The following is a 16,353-nucleotide window of genomic DNA, read 5'->3' on the forward strand; positions in this document are numbered from 1 at the left end:
AGAACCCCAGCTTCTTTCTCTGAAAAAGTTATTATCTTATTTATAAGGTTTCCTCAAAGACTGAATAAGAACATGTAAAGCTCCTATCATATAATCAGGCGTAAACATTAGTTCCCTTCCAGTGGGACTATAAACCTCCAAGGGTAGCTCACGTTTCTCCGTGCTCCAAGGACAGTAATATGCAGAGATTAAACAGACAGATAGGGGAATACAGACTGAATAAACGAAAACCTTTCCAAGTCTGATTTTATGACAATATTCTGAAAAGGGCTTTTCCATGCCTATTCTAAACAACTGACAGTGCTTCCATCATAAAATGCATTTTGACACACTTAATCTTCCAAGAACATACGTTGATTCTATGCCCTGATGAGAGAATATATTAGCTACTTAACCTTTATCTAACTCTTACATAATATTAAGATTTTTTTAAGATTCATTTTTACAAAACCCAGAAAGTCCACACACAACAAAAACAAAACAAAACAAAAAAAGGAACACAAAGTAATTGAAAAGACTTTTCATACCTAAAAAGGGAATTTTTAATCACAACCTTAGTCATAAACCTCAACAGGCAAGTCAGAAGCAGTGAAAGATAAAAGTGCCAACAAGAAAATCCGGTTGAAGTGCCACTCGGGTTCATGCAGTGGGTTACAGGGCGCACAAGACAAGCTGGCGGAAGTGGGTGCTGTACCTTTATCACAGCCGCCCCCACCTGACCACCTGTAGCAGCCTCAGAGGAAGCAGACAACCCCCACACACTTTCCAGCTGCATCTTTGCAGCCACAAAGTACGCACATACAATCAGCTAACGTATAAAAGTATATCAGAAGCATCAATGTGAAAAGGGAAAAAATCTTTAACTCGTGATGAGTAACCTGTGTTATTTAGATTCTGTCATTGAGACCTGATGCTAAGGGGAGACCCCTCTAAAGACACCCACACAACCCTGATAACTGGCAGCATAAGTGCATAATCTTTGCATCAAATACCTGGGGCACTGAAGAGGCTGAAGCAGCAAATCCTCTGGTAGAGGGTGAGGACCAAATGGGGGTACCTCAGAGGCTACAGTTCCTCCCCCTAGTGTTCAATGACAAATGGAAACATGTCACTGGGTCCAAACGCAGGGAGGACTAGTCTTTGCTTTGGCACCAGGCTAGACAAAGAAAAGACCCCTTGCCCCGTGACCCCACATTGTCCTACAAAGGAAAAGGCTGGATTTTGTTGATGAATGCAATTCACATGTTTGGAGCAGTGTCATTTGAAAGGACTGCTTCAGAAATTCATGCAAGTCACATAAGTGGAGAGAAAACAGGAAAAAATTAAGAATGGCTGTTTACAAGTCACTTCTAAAACTTTGCTTTGTTCTACTTGAACAATTTTTATCATCATTTAAAGCAGTTAAATTAAAATGCACCTGCACTGTAAATCGTGAGAGAACATACCTGCTCTTCAAATATGACTTGAAAATTATTTGGTTTCTCCCCTACCTCCCCCTACCTGGGATGCTCTCATTTTACATTTAATTTGGAAAATTAGAAGAAAAATGGAATAAGCTCAAATCCTAACCAAAATTTGTTTTTACTTTTAAAATACAACCATTTTAGAATTTTTAAATAAATGTAAAATATTTTATTATTTACTTAACTTTTACCTTCAGGGTTACATGTGCAGATTTGTGATATGGGTAACTTGCGTCATGGGGGTTTGTCGTACAGATTATTTTGTCATCCAGGTACTAAGCCTAGTACCTGATAGGTTTTTTTTTTTCTGCTCTTCCCCCTCCTCCCACTCTCCACTCTCCAGTAGGCCCCAGTGCCTGTTGTTCTGGATGGGCGTAGCGGCTCACGCCTGTAATCCCAGCACTTTGGGAGGCCAAGGCGGCCTGAACATCTGAGGTCAGAAGTTCGAGACCAGCCTGGCCAATATGGTGAAACCCAGTCTCTACAAAAAAATTAGCCAGGCATGGTGGTGTGCACCTTTAGTCCCAGCTACTTGGGAGGCTGAGGCAGGAGAACAGTTTGAACCCAGGAGGCAGAGGCTGCAGTGAGCCGAGATCACACCACTGCACTCCAGCCTGGGTGACAGGGCTAGATTTCGTCTTAAAAAAAAAAAAAGAAAGAAATCATCAATGGGCATTAAAGAAAAGTGTAACTTTTAAACCTACTTTCATAGTTCAAATACACCCAGTATTTGGAGGTCAGAGTAGTCACACTTCACTAACTTTATAAAGGAGAGGCTTTCAATAAATGCAAGGAATGTCTACCACAGCAATACATGTGTAAAACGTTTCATCTATGACAGCCATGTTCTAAATTAATGTTATATTTCCTACTCTGAAATAATTTTAATTTATGACTAAAAATGGTAACAAATGTTCTTTTCATTGAGGCCCAAGAAAGTATGAGAGTATTTATTCACATATTCTCATTTCCCATGTAACATGCCTAGGGCCATCCTGAATGAGAGCACAGAAAATGTGAAGGATTTCTCTGCCTAGTCTGCTTAAGATCAACAACACCTATAAGTCTAAACATAAAACACACACCTTTAAATGATCACCATTAATGTTAATAAGCATTAAAGGTAGACACTGAAGTCTTTTGTGTTGGCAAATCCTAGAACTACATTTTCATTCAGACAGGTTGCCTCTGGATAAACGTCTAAGATTTTTTCTAAAAACAAGTTATGGTATTTATAATTGCCTTCTTTAAAAGAATGCAAATTCTTTTGCCTACAGATTACGCTAAGCAAAAGAGTGAGAGAGAGAGGAAATTTCAGTAAAATTTTGAGAACCATAGCTTGCATTATAGATTTTGGAATGTACCTTCCTGCCATTTAACCCAACCCCATTTTCTTATTTCCTAGTAAATACACTCCCCAGTTATTCATCCCTTATTATACCCTGGGACAATGGTCATTTTGGTACCAATCACACCTTAGTTTTCCACTATCACCTGCTAAAAGTTCTCTTGAAGAAAAAAAATATAACTGTAAGAGAAACCTGAGTGATATAACGTCAGTATTTTAACATCCTAACCCTTTCAAATTCTCTCTATATGAGAATTGACTATTTTCATCCTCCCTTGAAAAAATGTGTTCGGGCATTAAAATTCCTCTACCTTGGACCTTTTCATAATGGCTGCCTTAGTATTTATTTTGATATACTATTCAAGACACCAACAGTTTGAGGTTTTCACTTCTTTTCTTGAAGAGTGTCACAAAGTCAAATTTCAGCCTCATCTACAAGACATTTAAAAATTACACTGCTTTCCTGATTTAACTCCTAAATATGCCCAACACAAATAATTATGTTGTTCACCTGAAGATATGTTCTAGAATCTTCACATTGCTACTCATAATGGCCCCAAACTGGAAACTATACAAATTAATAAATAGTGGTATAGTCACACAATATAATACTATATAGCATGGAGAATGAAAAATCAACTACCATAGTCAATATGGTGTCATGCACAATATGAGTTAACTGTGCATATTATCGAGTGAAAGAAGTTAGACACAAAATAGTACATTCTGTATCTCCATTGATATAAAGTTCAAAAACAGGCAAAGCAAATCTATGCTTTCCCAAGTCAGAGTAGTGGCTACCACGGGTGAAGTAGTTACTGGAAGGAAGCCTGAGGGATTTCTAGGGCGCTGATAATGCTGTGTCTTAATCTGGGAACTGGTTACAACAGCGTGTTCACTTTATGGAAATTCGTCAGTAAGATGAATATATGTTATATGCATACTTTTCCCTATTTATATTATCATTCAATTAAAAAGAAATAAAATTAATCAGCTTCTCTTAAGAAACAGACTTACAGGAATGAAAACTAGTGTGTTTCACACAGTAAAATGGAAGAAGCTTAAGAGCTAGGTTCAAATTCCAGACTCTACCATTAATTATTCAATCTTAGCTTCTCTGGCTTCCAGTTCTATAAAATGGAGCCAACAGCAAAGATCAAATGACATAACACTGAAGGCATTTTAAGCAAGAAGAATATACAAATGCTGAGCACTACTGCCTGAAATACTAATAATGTACTTATCCGAGAAGCCTTTAAAGTTACATGGTTCTACACAAAATGTTAGTATAAACATAACTGGCAAGATAATATTATCAGTTTTGCCATTTAAAGAACTTCCTAACAATCAAAGATATGCAACATTTATTCTACCCAAAGTTAAAGTGTCCTGCCCTAACCTCTACTTTGAGACACTTGGTAAATAATTTTCGGAAGAGTGTCAAGATACATAATATTATAGGAGACGATGTCAAATATTAAAGCTTCAATAATAAGTGGACTAGAGAATGATTCTACTCACAGCTCACAGTTCAATCCATCTCTTCTTCTCACTGACTTCTCAACCATTCTGTGCTTTTCCATGTTTTCCTCCTTCTTCCCACTCTACCCTGCCTCCTACCTGGCCATGCCCCCTTTCTCTCTGCCCACTGAAATTCTACCCACTCGTCAGTGCCCAGCCAAGGCATTCCTCTGGTGGGACACCCTTCCAGGCCATGGAGACCTTTCCAGGCCGTGGAGACCTTTCCTTCCTTTGAAGCACTTTTTTTAGTGCCTCAACCGTCTGTTTGCAACAGTCTTGGACCTGAGCATTGAACAGCTATGTATCTCTCAAGCCATGATTTAACAACTCATGTGCTCATATCTTGCTTCCCCAGTAGACTATATGTTTTCCCTAAAGGCAGGGACCTGTGTGATACTTATTTTAATCCCCCTTCAATGCTCTGTACATTGTAGATATTAAATGCTTGCTACCCAGTGCTCTACTTTGTGGGTTCAAGAAAGCAGTAATCTCTAAAAGTAGGGCAAAGGTGCAGACTGGGATTTCTTCAAGTAAGTGGATTCTGTCGGTGGCACCTCATCTCTAAAACTCTCTGTTAAGCTCTGATCTTCTTTTCTCTGAGAGCTCTCAATCACTCTAGACTTTAGAGACTAAATCAGCACTTTGAAATCAAAGTATAAGGTGAACCACATATAATTTTAAATTTCTAGTAGCCACATTAAAAAGTAAAAAGGAACAGGCCAAATGTATCTTAATATTTACTAGTTAATCCTATATATGTAAAACATTATCATTTCAACATGTAATCAACATAATAAAAATTATCAAGGAGATATATATCCTTTTTGTTTGAAAGCTGGTGTATATTGCACAGCACATCTCAACCACATTTCATATGCTCAAATGCCACATGTGGCTGATGGCTACCATACTGGACAGACCAGGTTTAGAGTTCAAGCTAGAATATGTGATTTCAAACCATTCTGAAAAAATCTAAAATCGAACAAACGCTATAGGAATATGCAGTAATCTTCCTAAATCTTGCTCTTAAAAAAAAAAGAATACGGCCAGGCACGGTGGCTCATGCCTGTAATCCCAGCACTTTGGGAGGCTGAGGTGGGCGGATCACCTGAGATCAGGAGTTTCAGACCAGCCTGGCCAACATAGGGAAACCCCGTCTCTACTAAAAATACAAAAATTAGCTGGGCACGGCAGCACATGCCTGTAATCGCAGCCACTCAAGAGGCTGAGGCAGGAGAGTCGCTTGAACCCAGGAGGTGGAGGTTGCAGTGAGCCGAGATCATGCCACTGCACTCCAGCCTGGGCGACAGAGCGAGACTCCGTCTCAAAAAAAAAAAAAAAAAGTCTACACTACTTTATCATTTTATAAAGCCCTCTGTCATACATTATCTCATCTAGATGACATACGTACAGCAAACATTAAGCCATAAAGTAGTTTCTTGGTCCTATATACCAAAAGAACACAGACCTGGTAACACACGCTTAAATCAAATAACTCACAGCCTTAAAGAACATCTATTCATGAGACGTTTTCTCCATTTTTACTATACAGTAAAGCATATTTTATCTCTTATTTTAAGTCATTTAAGAACTTTTTATTTTGGAATTTTATGACTAGCCCTTTAAATATTAGTTTTGCTAGGAACATCAAAAGAACAAGTGACTAATTACATAAAGGGGAAAAGATTAAATGAATCATGGATTCCACTTGAACTTCATCAGTTAAAAGGATAATTAGCAAAATATTTAAGGAAAAAGTAAATGAGCTTGTTAGTCATGGCCTTTTGAGGGGAAAAAGGTAAAACTATTTTACTTGCCTGATCTCAGATCTAGAATCTAAAAGATAAAGAGGTATTGTGGAGAATCATTATAAAATACTCAGACTTCAAAGGTTCCCATAAGGTCAAAATATGGACTATGTATAAGAAGAAAAAATATGCTAAATATAAAATCAATGTATTAATGAGATATATTTATTTAAATATCCCTTTTGAGTATTCTTAACAGGTATTCAGAACCCTAATCTGCTTTTGAATTTTCAATGAATATAAAAGAAAAATTTGAAGACATTAATGGAGAATTTTAAAGCAAGAATCTAATCCTGTATGTTAGAAAGAAGAAAATACAACGTTATGTAATATTTTAATTCTTATAGGTGCCCAAATACATAAGCAACCTAACTTTGACATCGGGGGAAACTGGACAAATCCATTTAAAACTAATTTAGCAACAAATACTTACATGGTTCTGTGGACATGTAACATCCCAAGGTGTTTTAAATTGATAATGTCACCATATGAACTGATAATTTTCAGTTGAACATACAGTTTATTCTATAAAATCATTAAATCTTAAGAACCATGAGGGATCTTAGAGACATTTAGCCCAGTGCCTCTCAAATTTTGATGTTTATGTGAGACCCCAGGGGCACCTTGAGAAAGTGCAGATTCAGACTCAGTAGGTGTGGGTGGCCCTGAGACTTCATTTCTAACAAGCTCCAGGTGATGCCGATGCTGCTGGTCCAGGGACCAGGCAGTGGGTATTGTGGCCCCAGTCAAGTCTAAGGGAGGTCCCACAGCCTCTGCTTGGGCATCTCCAGTATCCAGGACTTGAAACCTGCCTCCAAGGGTAGACATTACAGGGAGGGACTTGTATATTACAGAGAGGGAAGCAACAAGGAAAGGCTGCTTCCACTTCTAGTGATGGAAGACACTCTTTCTCTCCCAACATCTCCTCTTCTCCATGTTGAAAATCCCCACTTCCTTTGGCCACTCTTAGAACTGATAGGTTTCCAGACCCCTAAACATCTTTATCACAGAAAATGCTCCCTCTGTGGTGAAAATCTTTCTTAAAATAAATCCCTTGGGACAAGACATAGCATCCCACACATGGGACATCCAGACCTGAGAGTAGTTGAGTGAGAACATTACATTCCCTGATCTAAAGGGGACAGCTCTCTTAATGTGGCCTTAAGGAGGTGTCGCCTTCTGTAAGAATCACACTGCACTGGTGGCTCACAATGTTGTGGAGGAAATAATACCAAGCAAGTGTTCCCATGTGCACTTGAACAATTATTTTTAACTAAAATGTAGCAATTTACAGTTATTTCTATTTAATGTCATCTTGCTACTATAACAACTCACATAAATCCTTTAAAATGTTTACTAATAGGTCACACATATATAAAAAACATAGACAGTTTTTAAAAACAATTAAGAAGAAAGAATATCCTTGGGACCACTGTCCAGGTTGGGAGATAAAACACTGCCAGGACCTCAGAAGCCCCCAGTGAGCCCCTTCTCTATCATACCCACTCCTTCACCTCTGGAGGTAGCTGTTATACTGCTTTTTGTGACAATCATATTAAATCATATTAATTTTCTTTATAGTTTTACCATCTATGTATGTATCCCTAAATAACATATTTAGTTTTGCATGCTTTTGAACTTTACATGAATAGAATCACACTGTATATATTCTTCTATCTTGCTTCTTTCTTTCCATATTGTTTGTAAGATTCATCCATTTTGATGCACTTTTATTTGTTTAACAAACACATATAGAATGTATTGTCTGCCAGTCATTCTCCTAAGCATGTCACAAACATTGACTCATTTAAACTTCCTAACAACACTATCAGGTAGACATCATTTTCCCTGATGTACAGATGAGAAAACTAAGGTACACTGAAGTTCAGAAATTCATCCAAGGTCACACAATAAGTGGCAGAACCAAAATCTGAACCCAGGCACAATCCTTCCTCTTGACCACCAAGAAATGCTGCCTCTCCACACCCTTCTATATGTGGTTATACTAGTTGATTTTTCATTGCCAAATAGTATCACAGTGTATAAATACCTCACAGCAAAATGTGCTGATTCGATTCAATGTTGATGGGCATTTATTTGGGTTGCTTCCAGTTTTTTGCTCTTATGAACAATGCTTCTTTGAATATGTTTGTCCATGTTTTTTCTTTTAAGTTCAGGGGTATGCACATGTACTGGTTTGTTACACAGGTAAACTTGTGTCATGGAGGTATGCTATACAGATTATTTCATCACTCAGGTATTAGGCCTGGTATCCATTAGTTATTTTCCCTGATTCTCTCCCTCTTCCCACCCTCTAATAGGTCTCAGTGTCCGTTGTTCCCCTCTATATGTCCATGCGTTTTCATCATTTAGCTCCCACTTATAAGTGAGAATGTGCAGTTTGGTTTTCTGTTCCTGTGTTAGTCCGCTTAAGGATAATGGCCCCCAGCTCCATCTATGTCCCTGCAAAGGACATGATCTCATTCTTTTTTATGGCTGCATAGTATTCCATGGTGTATGTACCACATTTTCTTTATCCAGTCTATCACTGATGGGCATTTAGGTTGATTACATGTCTTTGCTTATTGTGAATAGTGCCGCAACGAACATACACGTGTATGTGTCTTAGAATAATTTATATTCCTTTGGGTATATGCACAGTAATGAAACTGCTGGGTTGAATGGTATTTCTATCTTTAGGACTTTGAGCAATCATCACAGTCTTCCACAATGGCTGAACTGATTTACACTCCCACCGAGAGTGTGTAAGTGTTCCTTTTTCTCCATAACCTTGCCAGCATCAATTATTTTTTGTTTTGTTCATGTTTCTTAAAGCACATAGGTAATCATTTTTCTTAGGTGTATACCTAGGGGTAAGATGGCTGTGTTGTAAGTTATTTGCAGGTTGAACTTGGTTAGGTAACAGCAAATTGTTTTCCGATATAATTGTACCAAGTTAGACTCCTGTCAACTAAATACAAAAACTCCCATTCATTCACATCCTTACATGGTATTGTCAGGTTTTAAAATTTCTGCCAATCCAGAGAGTGTGTAATCATATGTTACTATGATTTTAATCTGCATGTGTTTGTTTATTAATGAAGCTGAGCATCTTTTTATATATTTACTAGCCAATTGGGTTTCTTCCTTTGTGAAATGCATGTTTAAGAATATGAATGTACAGTATCATTTTTCTTTTTGGTTATCTGGCTTTTTTATTGATTCACATGTGTGCTGAACCAGTATTATTTATGTGCCACAAACGTCTTTACCACTTTGGGCTTGTTTTCTCATTCTCCATAGTTACCACTCAGTGAACAGAAGTCCTACTCACTTTTTTTTCCAACAATAAGTGAAAGACCCCTCATGCTTTTTTTTTTTTCTTTTTTGAGATGGAGTTTCGCTCTGTTGCCCAGGCTGGAGTGCTGTGGTGCGATCTTGGCTCACTGCAAGCTCTGTTTCCTGGGTTCACACCATTCTCCTGCCTCAGCCTCCCGAGCAGCTGGGACTACAGGTGCCTGCCACCATGCCCGGCTAATTTTTTGTATTTTTACTAGAGACAGGGTTTCATCGTTTTAGCCAGGATGGTCCCGATCTCCTGACCTCGTGATCCACCCGCCTCGACCTCCCAAAGTGCTGGGATTACAGGCGTGAGCCACCACACCCGGCCTCCTCATGCATTTTTAACTTTTGAACTATTTTATAAGAATTTTTTAGGTCTGGCCAGGCACGGCGGCTTACACCTATAATCCCAGCACTTAGGGAGGCTGAGGCAGGCAGATCACTTGAGGTCAGGAGTTCGAGACCAGCCTGGCAAACATGGTGAAACCCCATCTCTACTAAGATTACAAAAATTAGCTGGGCATGGTGGCATGTGCCTGTAGTCCAGCTACTCAGGAGGCTGAGCCAGGAGGATCACTTGAACCTGGGAGGTGGAGGGTGCAGTGGGCCGAGATCGCACCACTGCACTCCAGCTTGGGTGACAGGACAAGACTCCATCTCAAAATAAATAAATAAATAAATAAATAAATAAAGCACTTAGAAAGGAAAAGAATTATGTTAAATATACATGTTGGTCTTACAGTCTAGAAATTCAGTTGCTTTGACTATAAAATACAAAAAGCAAAGGCTCTGGGATAAGACCACTGTGATACGAAGCTAAGATAGTGATCTCTGATAGTCTGGCCAAACTGCAGCAAAACCAACCAAAACTAAACAAAAAACAAAAATGTCCCCATATGTAGACATACGGAAATGGGCTGCAAAAAGATGAACGTACACCTGAATTCCTGGTGACATCTGGGCAGCCCCTCAGCAGGTAGCACAGTTCTTCCTGAGCTAGCTGCTCCACTCTGCTGTTTCCTCTGACTCGCATTTTCTGTTAACCTTCCTCTTGGAATCCTTTGACAATGACTCACAGGGTTATGGGGCTACTTAGCAATACCACAGCCCTCCGCAATAGATGCTGTGTAGGAGGGACGCAGCTCAGTGGATTGTAGTCTGCACCAGTATTTTCCTTTCTGCATTCAGGGAGGATTTGCTTTTCAGCCACATTTCCCTCAAACACAGCCCCGACAGGAGATGCTTAGCGCAGAGATTTCTAAACGATGAAATGATCTGAGTTTGGCTCCTTAATCATAATGAAACTAAAAACAGTAAGATGAGAAAACAACAGGGGGATCATCATTCCTACAAAAAACAACTTTATACTTGGGCAAAATCAAGAGATTAAAAAAAAAAAGCTCAAACTAACATTTTCCAACCTTTCACTAAGAGCAAGGGCTAAAACCACATGTTTTGAAGGTCTTGCACTGTGTTATTATTAGAAGTCACAATTCTATTGATACTGATGAGTCATTCGTATCGGCGGAAACCAAGAACTTCCATCAACATCATGTTACACACAGTCACTGTGGCTTTTCTTTATTACTGGTCAAAGCTGCTTCAGAATGCTTATTGAAACTTAAGAAAAAGAAGGCAAACTCCTCAAGGGTGTGCAAAGCTTTCCCTTCCCCAGCTGATCTTACTTTAATCATCCTTTTTCAAGACAGTTTATGATGATTGGATCAACTTGTATCTACAAAAGGAAGTTTATTTAGAAGCCTCAGAAAAGCAACATTTCACACTTTCCGATGAAAATAAGCAAAACTGAACTCTGAAAACAAACAGTGAAACCATCTCTGAAAATACATGCTAGCTTTAAAATGACCTGAGGTCAAGTTTTTTGTTTTGTTTTTTAACCTCAATAACAGGGAACGGATATAAACAAAAGCTGTCATCACTTAGGGACTTCAGCCACATAAAACAATGTCAGGCTAGTCACTTGCACCCTCGCCCCTGCTTCCCTACTCAGGACACACTGCTTTGCACTGAGGGAGAAGTGGGTCAGGTTTCAGTTACGCCAAGAAAGCCTAACTAAGTTAAAGGTTTATGAAAACTCTTTCTGATCTTAGTAGGAAATAACAGCACATTCCCTTTTCATTTATTATCAGCCCCTTTTGCCTCTCCCCTTAAATATTCCCAGAAAAATAAAGTGAAGCAAAAAAAAAGTTTTCCTGAGGCATATCCAGAAATGCTATGAATCTTTATGCAGTCCCTACAAAGGTAGAAATTTGTCCAATTTTCTCCCCTGCAACCAGAAGGCTGTGTCTGGCTGCTGGCAGGAGAAGAGGACCCAGCTCAGCAGTGACCACAGATCTGAAAATAGCCTCCCAGTAGCTAACCAGCCCAGCAGCCCGGAGCTCTCCAAGGGCGGTGCTGGTACTATGGGCAGTTTACAGTGCGGCCAGCTGAGTGCTACAACAGCTGCATGAGTCAGCAAGCACTGCTGGTAGGAAAGTGCTGACATGCTAAATTACTCTCGTGTACTTGAGATGCACACACCTACCTGGCAAAAACAAAAACAGGGTACATGCAAATTAGCAAACGGGAACCTCTCTACGCTTGCAGTTTCTATTTTCCAAGGTTAGACCAAAAATATAAATAATCTATGCCACTGCTCAAAAAGAAGTAACAACTAATAATAATTAATCATGGTAATAAACAACTCACTCTTAGTGTTGCTATGTGTGGAACAGCTGCACTGAAATCTCACGAGCCAGTTAATTTTAACTGGTTTTAATTTTAACTAGATTTAACTGCTTTTCCTCCCTTCTGAAAAATCAAAATAGTTACCATATCGACCACAAGAACTGGTAACAGACAAGCACAGTTCCTGTTTTTCAGAGGGGACTTACTTTCAAACCCACAATATCAACACGCTTAACATAAGTGGAAATTTAAAATGTACTGTTTAATGTGGGAAATTTAAAACCTGTATGCTAATTGAGATCTCATGTGCCAGGCTTTGTCTGACAATGCCTCTCATTCATCTATGTTCTCTCGTTTTATACGGGACCTAAAAATCTGCAGGAACACTGGTTGTCTGGAACTGAGAATACATTTTCCCACAGAAATAGGGCCAGGCCAATGAGCTAGGATTCCTTGATAGTCCGTGAAAATGTCTTGAACTTAAAATATGAGAGGTTAAATTTATAATCTAAAAAGAAAATGATACTACAATGATAGTTCCAAAACCATTTAAAAGAAAATACTCTTGATTAACTGTGTTTGAGGAAATGTCTAACTACAGGAGGATGAAGGGACACAGTCTTCCAAGTGACACTTTCAGACTTCAACTTTAGGGTCATTCTGGTTCTCTAACATGGTTTCAATTGATAGTTTCATTTAAAATGCATAGAATTCTCTTACTTTGGCATAAAGTATTGTTAGAAAAAAAATCTTTATACTTACCGGTTTTAAGTACTGTTTTGTTCTCCAAAAAAAAAATTGAGACTTGGAAAACAAAAAAGGAGGAGAAACAAGTACAAAGAGGGGGTACTAGAGAGAGGGAAACAAATTAAGTCTGGAACAAAGAAAGACACGGAGGTATAACTAAACTGCAAAAACAAAGGAGAGGTAGGAACTAGAGGGCAGTTCCCCGCTAGACAGTGTGTTCCCAGAGAAAGAGGACTCTTCATCATACCCAGCTCTGGAGGTGACAGTGAAGTCCTGCAAGACAGTTCCACAGACTGGCACTAGATGGAGCCATCAACTCAACATAGCATGGTTGCTGGAGAAGGGTATGGTGGGGGAGAGGTGGGACTGAAGGGCGTTGACTCTACAGCCAGGTATTTACCTGCCAACAACTCTATCTAAAATAAGTATAGTTTAATTAATCAACCAACTCTCCTAATGTCCAGATGTCACCACCATGCTGACACCACTATGCTTGTGGTATGTCAAATTGGGACACACCAATTTTGAAATAAATTTATCAATTCAATTTGTATCAATGCAACTGGGGTGGGGAGGTAAGTGAAGTTGGATCCGCTGCTTTTTTTTTCTTCTAAAATTCAACATGCAAAGATAATATAGAATTTCAGGTTCATTGCTACTGAATAACAAAAATCCCTAACCACAAACCAAATGGCTTTCCCTGGAAGCTTTGTTTAAATGTTAAATAACATACCATCTTGCTATAGAGGTTTATGTGATCAACTCCAATGTACGGCAAAAGGCGGGAAATGCTCACTGACAAATGTATTATTAAAAATAATCTTCTCTTTGTATTTTAATACTACTTTGATTTAAATACTGTAATCCATTTGCCTATATTCTCTGCCTAGGGTTGTGTTTATTTATCACGAGCCCTCTCTCCATTCAGAAATGGTCTCCTATCACCAGGTTACCAGTGTGCGAAATTCTATTGTTTTTATCTTTAGGGTTTTACTTCTTTGGCTTTGTCTCCTATTAACATGCTGATGCTTCAGAAAAGTAACACATTAAGTATGCTCAGTTACTTATATATTAGTAAAACTGTGTTCATAAAATCTTTCTCTGAGATTGGTTTTGGAAGGGAAGGACAAGGACTAGTTGAGGGGACTGGGTGGCCAAAAGGTAAGAGAGCATGAAACAAAAAAGTGAGCACAGAAGGAGGATGGGGGAACTGGCTGCAAACCGTGCCTAGCTTCTTTACATCTGGGACACGGACCATCATCCCTGGCACTTATCTTCCCAAGAAAATGTATGAAAAGGAAGGGTTAACTCTGTCTACATTTTCCTCTTGCTGAATGGGTAATAATATCTTTCACAGTTAATTTCATTTTTTTTTCAGTTTGACTCTTCAGGGCTTATTCATTTGCATAATATGGAATCTTGAACCCACATAGATATTCTACAAATCAATGCAAGTAATTCTCACACTAAATCAGCAGCTTTAATTTAAGCTCAACATTGTTTGCATAGAAATCTTTATGCACTCATCTGCTTGATTTTTTAAATCACTTAAAACCTCCAACACTGACACACTAAGCATCTCCCATTTAGCTTTCTCCAAAATTTGAACTAAATGCTGAAAAATAAGCACAGTACTATACATTCATACACTTGATCATTTCCCAAATTGAGCTTCAAATGTGTGCTTAATGTTTCAAGTGGCTCCTGAGAATGATGCTTCTTGACTAAAGATGACAACTTCGGTGTCTGGCCCAGGCAGAGCTGAGTCAGCATTCTAAACAGTGACCCTGCAAACCTGAGGTAATTGGGGGTTACTGCCATACCAACTGCCTGAGTCCTTTAAAACCATTCAAATCTCCAGCTGAGAGTTGCAACATGCTAATCTGGCAAGATAATCTCTTCCTGAAATTGACCAGAATGAGAACAAAGGTTACCTCCTTTTATCTGTTACTGGTAGCTAATATTTCTAATTAGGATTTCTGATGGAATTAGTTCTGAATGAACATCTTCCTCCTTGGTAGAATACTCTACCTCTTACAGGTATAGTTTTTTACCTTTTCCTACCCACCAAAAAAACAAAAAACAAAAAACAAAACGCAAAAAACAAATTCCCTCCACCTAACAAGAGGGTAGGAGTGTGAGTTACAAGTAAACCCTGGAGACAGAGCCATGGTATTTCAGTTATATGCCTAGTACTTCTTTTGCCTTTATATGCATCACTTTTACTTTCCGATCCCTAAATGGACACTAAAACCTAAGGAATGCAATTATTAGAAAGCAGGCCATGTGAAAGACAGGAGATATACTCACTCAGATTTACTGAGAAATTATTTTTTAACTTTAAGATAGATGTCAACAAAACATCCAATATTTTAGAGTGAGATGACCTTTATTTCTACTTCTGGGAACTGCTAAAGAGAGTTCCAACTTCAAATGAAGAAGAAAAGGAAAAGGGAGAGCCATAACATGGTAAGAGAACAGGCCCAAGCATCAGACAGCTAGTGTCCAACTCCAGTTCTACCATTCATTAGCTGAGCGACACCTATGCTGCGGCTTCTAGTGATCACACCTAGCCCTGGGTTGTTCTGAGGATTATGTGAGTTAATATGAGCAGCACACAGAGGAAGCTCTCAATACAAGTTAACTATCATCAAAGAAAAAGAAAATAGAGGGGTGTTAGCATGAAGTATAATCAATTTATTTTAAATAGATGCTGTCAAAATTCCTTAATTTTGCATCTAAGAATGGTCTAAATAAGACGTGTCCAATCTTTTGGCTTCCCTGGGACACACTGGAAGAAGGAGAACTGTCTTGGGCCACACATAAAATACACTCAACACTAATGATACATGATGAGCTGAAACAAGAAAAATAGCAAAAAACAAAAAACAAACAAACAAAAACAAAAACAAAAAACCTTTGTGTTGGTCCGCATTCAACACGCAAGAGGCCTGCTGGCCATGGGTTGGACAAGCTTGGAATAATCTTCGGGCCACAGAGGATGGAGACCCTCTGCTCTGGAGTAGCCAGGGACTTCAGACAGACTATTTAGACTCACTTTTTCACCAAAGGCCCTACACACATCAGCTGACTGGGAGAGAATATCTTTGTAGCTTCTGATCATTCAAATATTGTCAAAACCAACCTAAATATGTTCAAAATAAGAATGTTAACTTGTATTTTTTCCAAGTATGGAAATGAACAGTACTCTTGGCAGTTAACTTCTGTTTTTATCAGGTTCTAAAGACCCAGGTAAATAAATCAATTCTGGACTCTGTATACAGGAACTATTATTTGCCAAAATGGCCCCAGAGGTTCCAGCATGGCTTAGGCAATACTCCAAAGGGCCAAAGATAGTAGTGAATTAATAGGATTAGGAAGCTGGAGAAAAAGTGAATCTCAAGTTTCAGACTGTCCCTGATGGAAGGTCACTCCA

General features: G+C 38.8%; 1 protein-coding gene across 2 annotated transcripts in view, besides 1 other annotated feature; it reads right to left on the reverse strand.

Annotated features, from left to right (window-relative positions):
- The window catches only part of BACH2 (BACH transcriptional regulator 2), a 370,316-nt gene that overhangs the window by 347,337 nt on the left and 6,626 nt on the right, over positions 1–16,353 (reverse strand). The gene's annotated exons all lie outside the window — the stretch shown is intronic.
- Positions 11,682–12,182: an enhancer, noted in NCBI's record as "H3K27ac hESC enhancer chr6:90995265-90995765 (GRCh37/hg19 assembly coordinates)". NCBI's record gives its function as "activates a minimal SCP1, AML or CMV promoter by ChIP-STARR-seq in primed H9 embryonic stem cells {active_cell/tissue: H9 hESC(primed)}" and the evidence as "EXISTENCE:reporter gene assay evidence [ECO:0000049][PMID:30033119]".

This window comes from Homo sapiens, chromosome 6 (genome assembly GCF_000001405.40).
Source record: "Homo sapiens chromosome 6, GRCh38.p14 Primary Assembly".
NCBI lineage: Eukaryota > Metazoa > Chordata > Mammalia > Primates > Hominidae > Homo > Homo sapiens.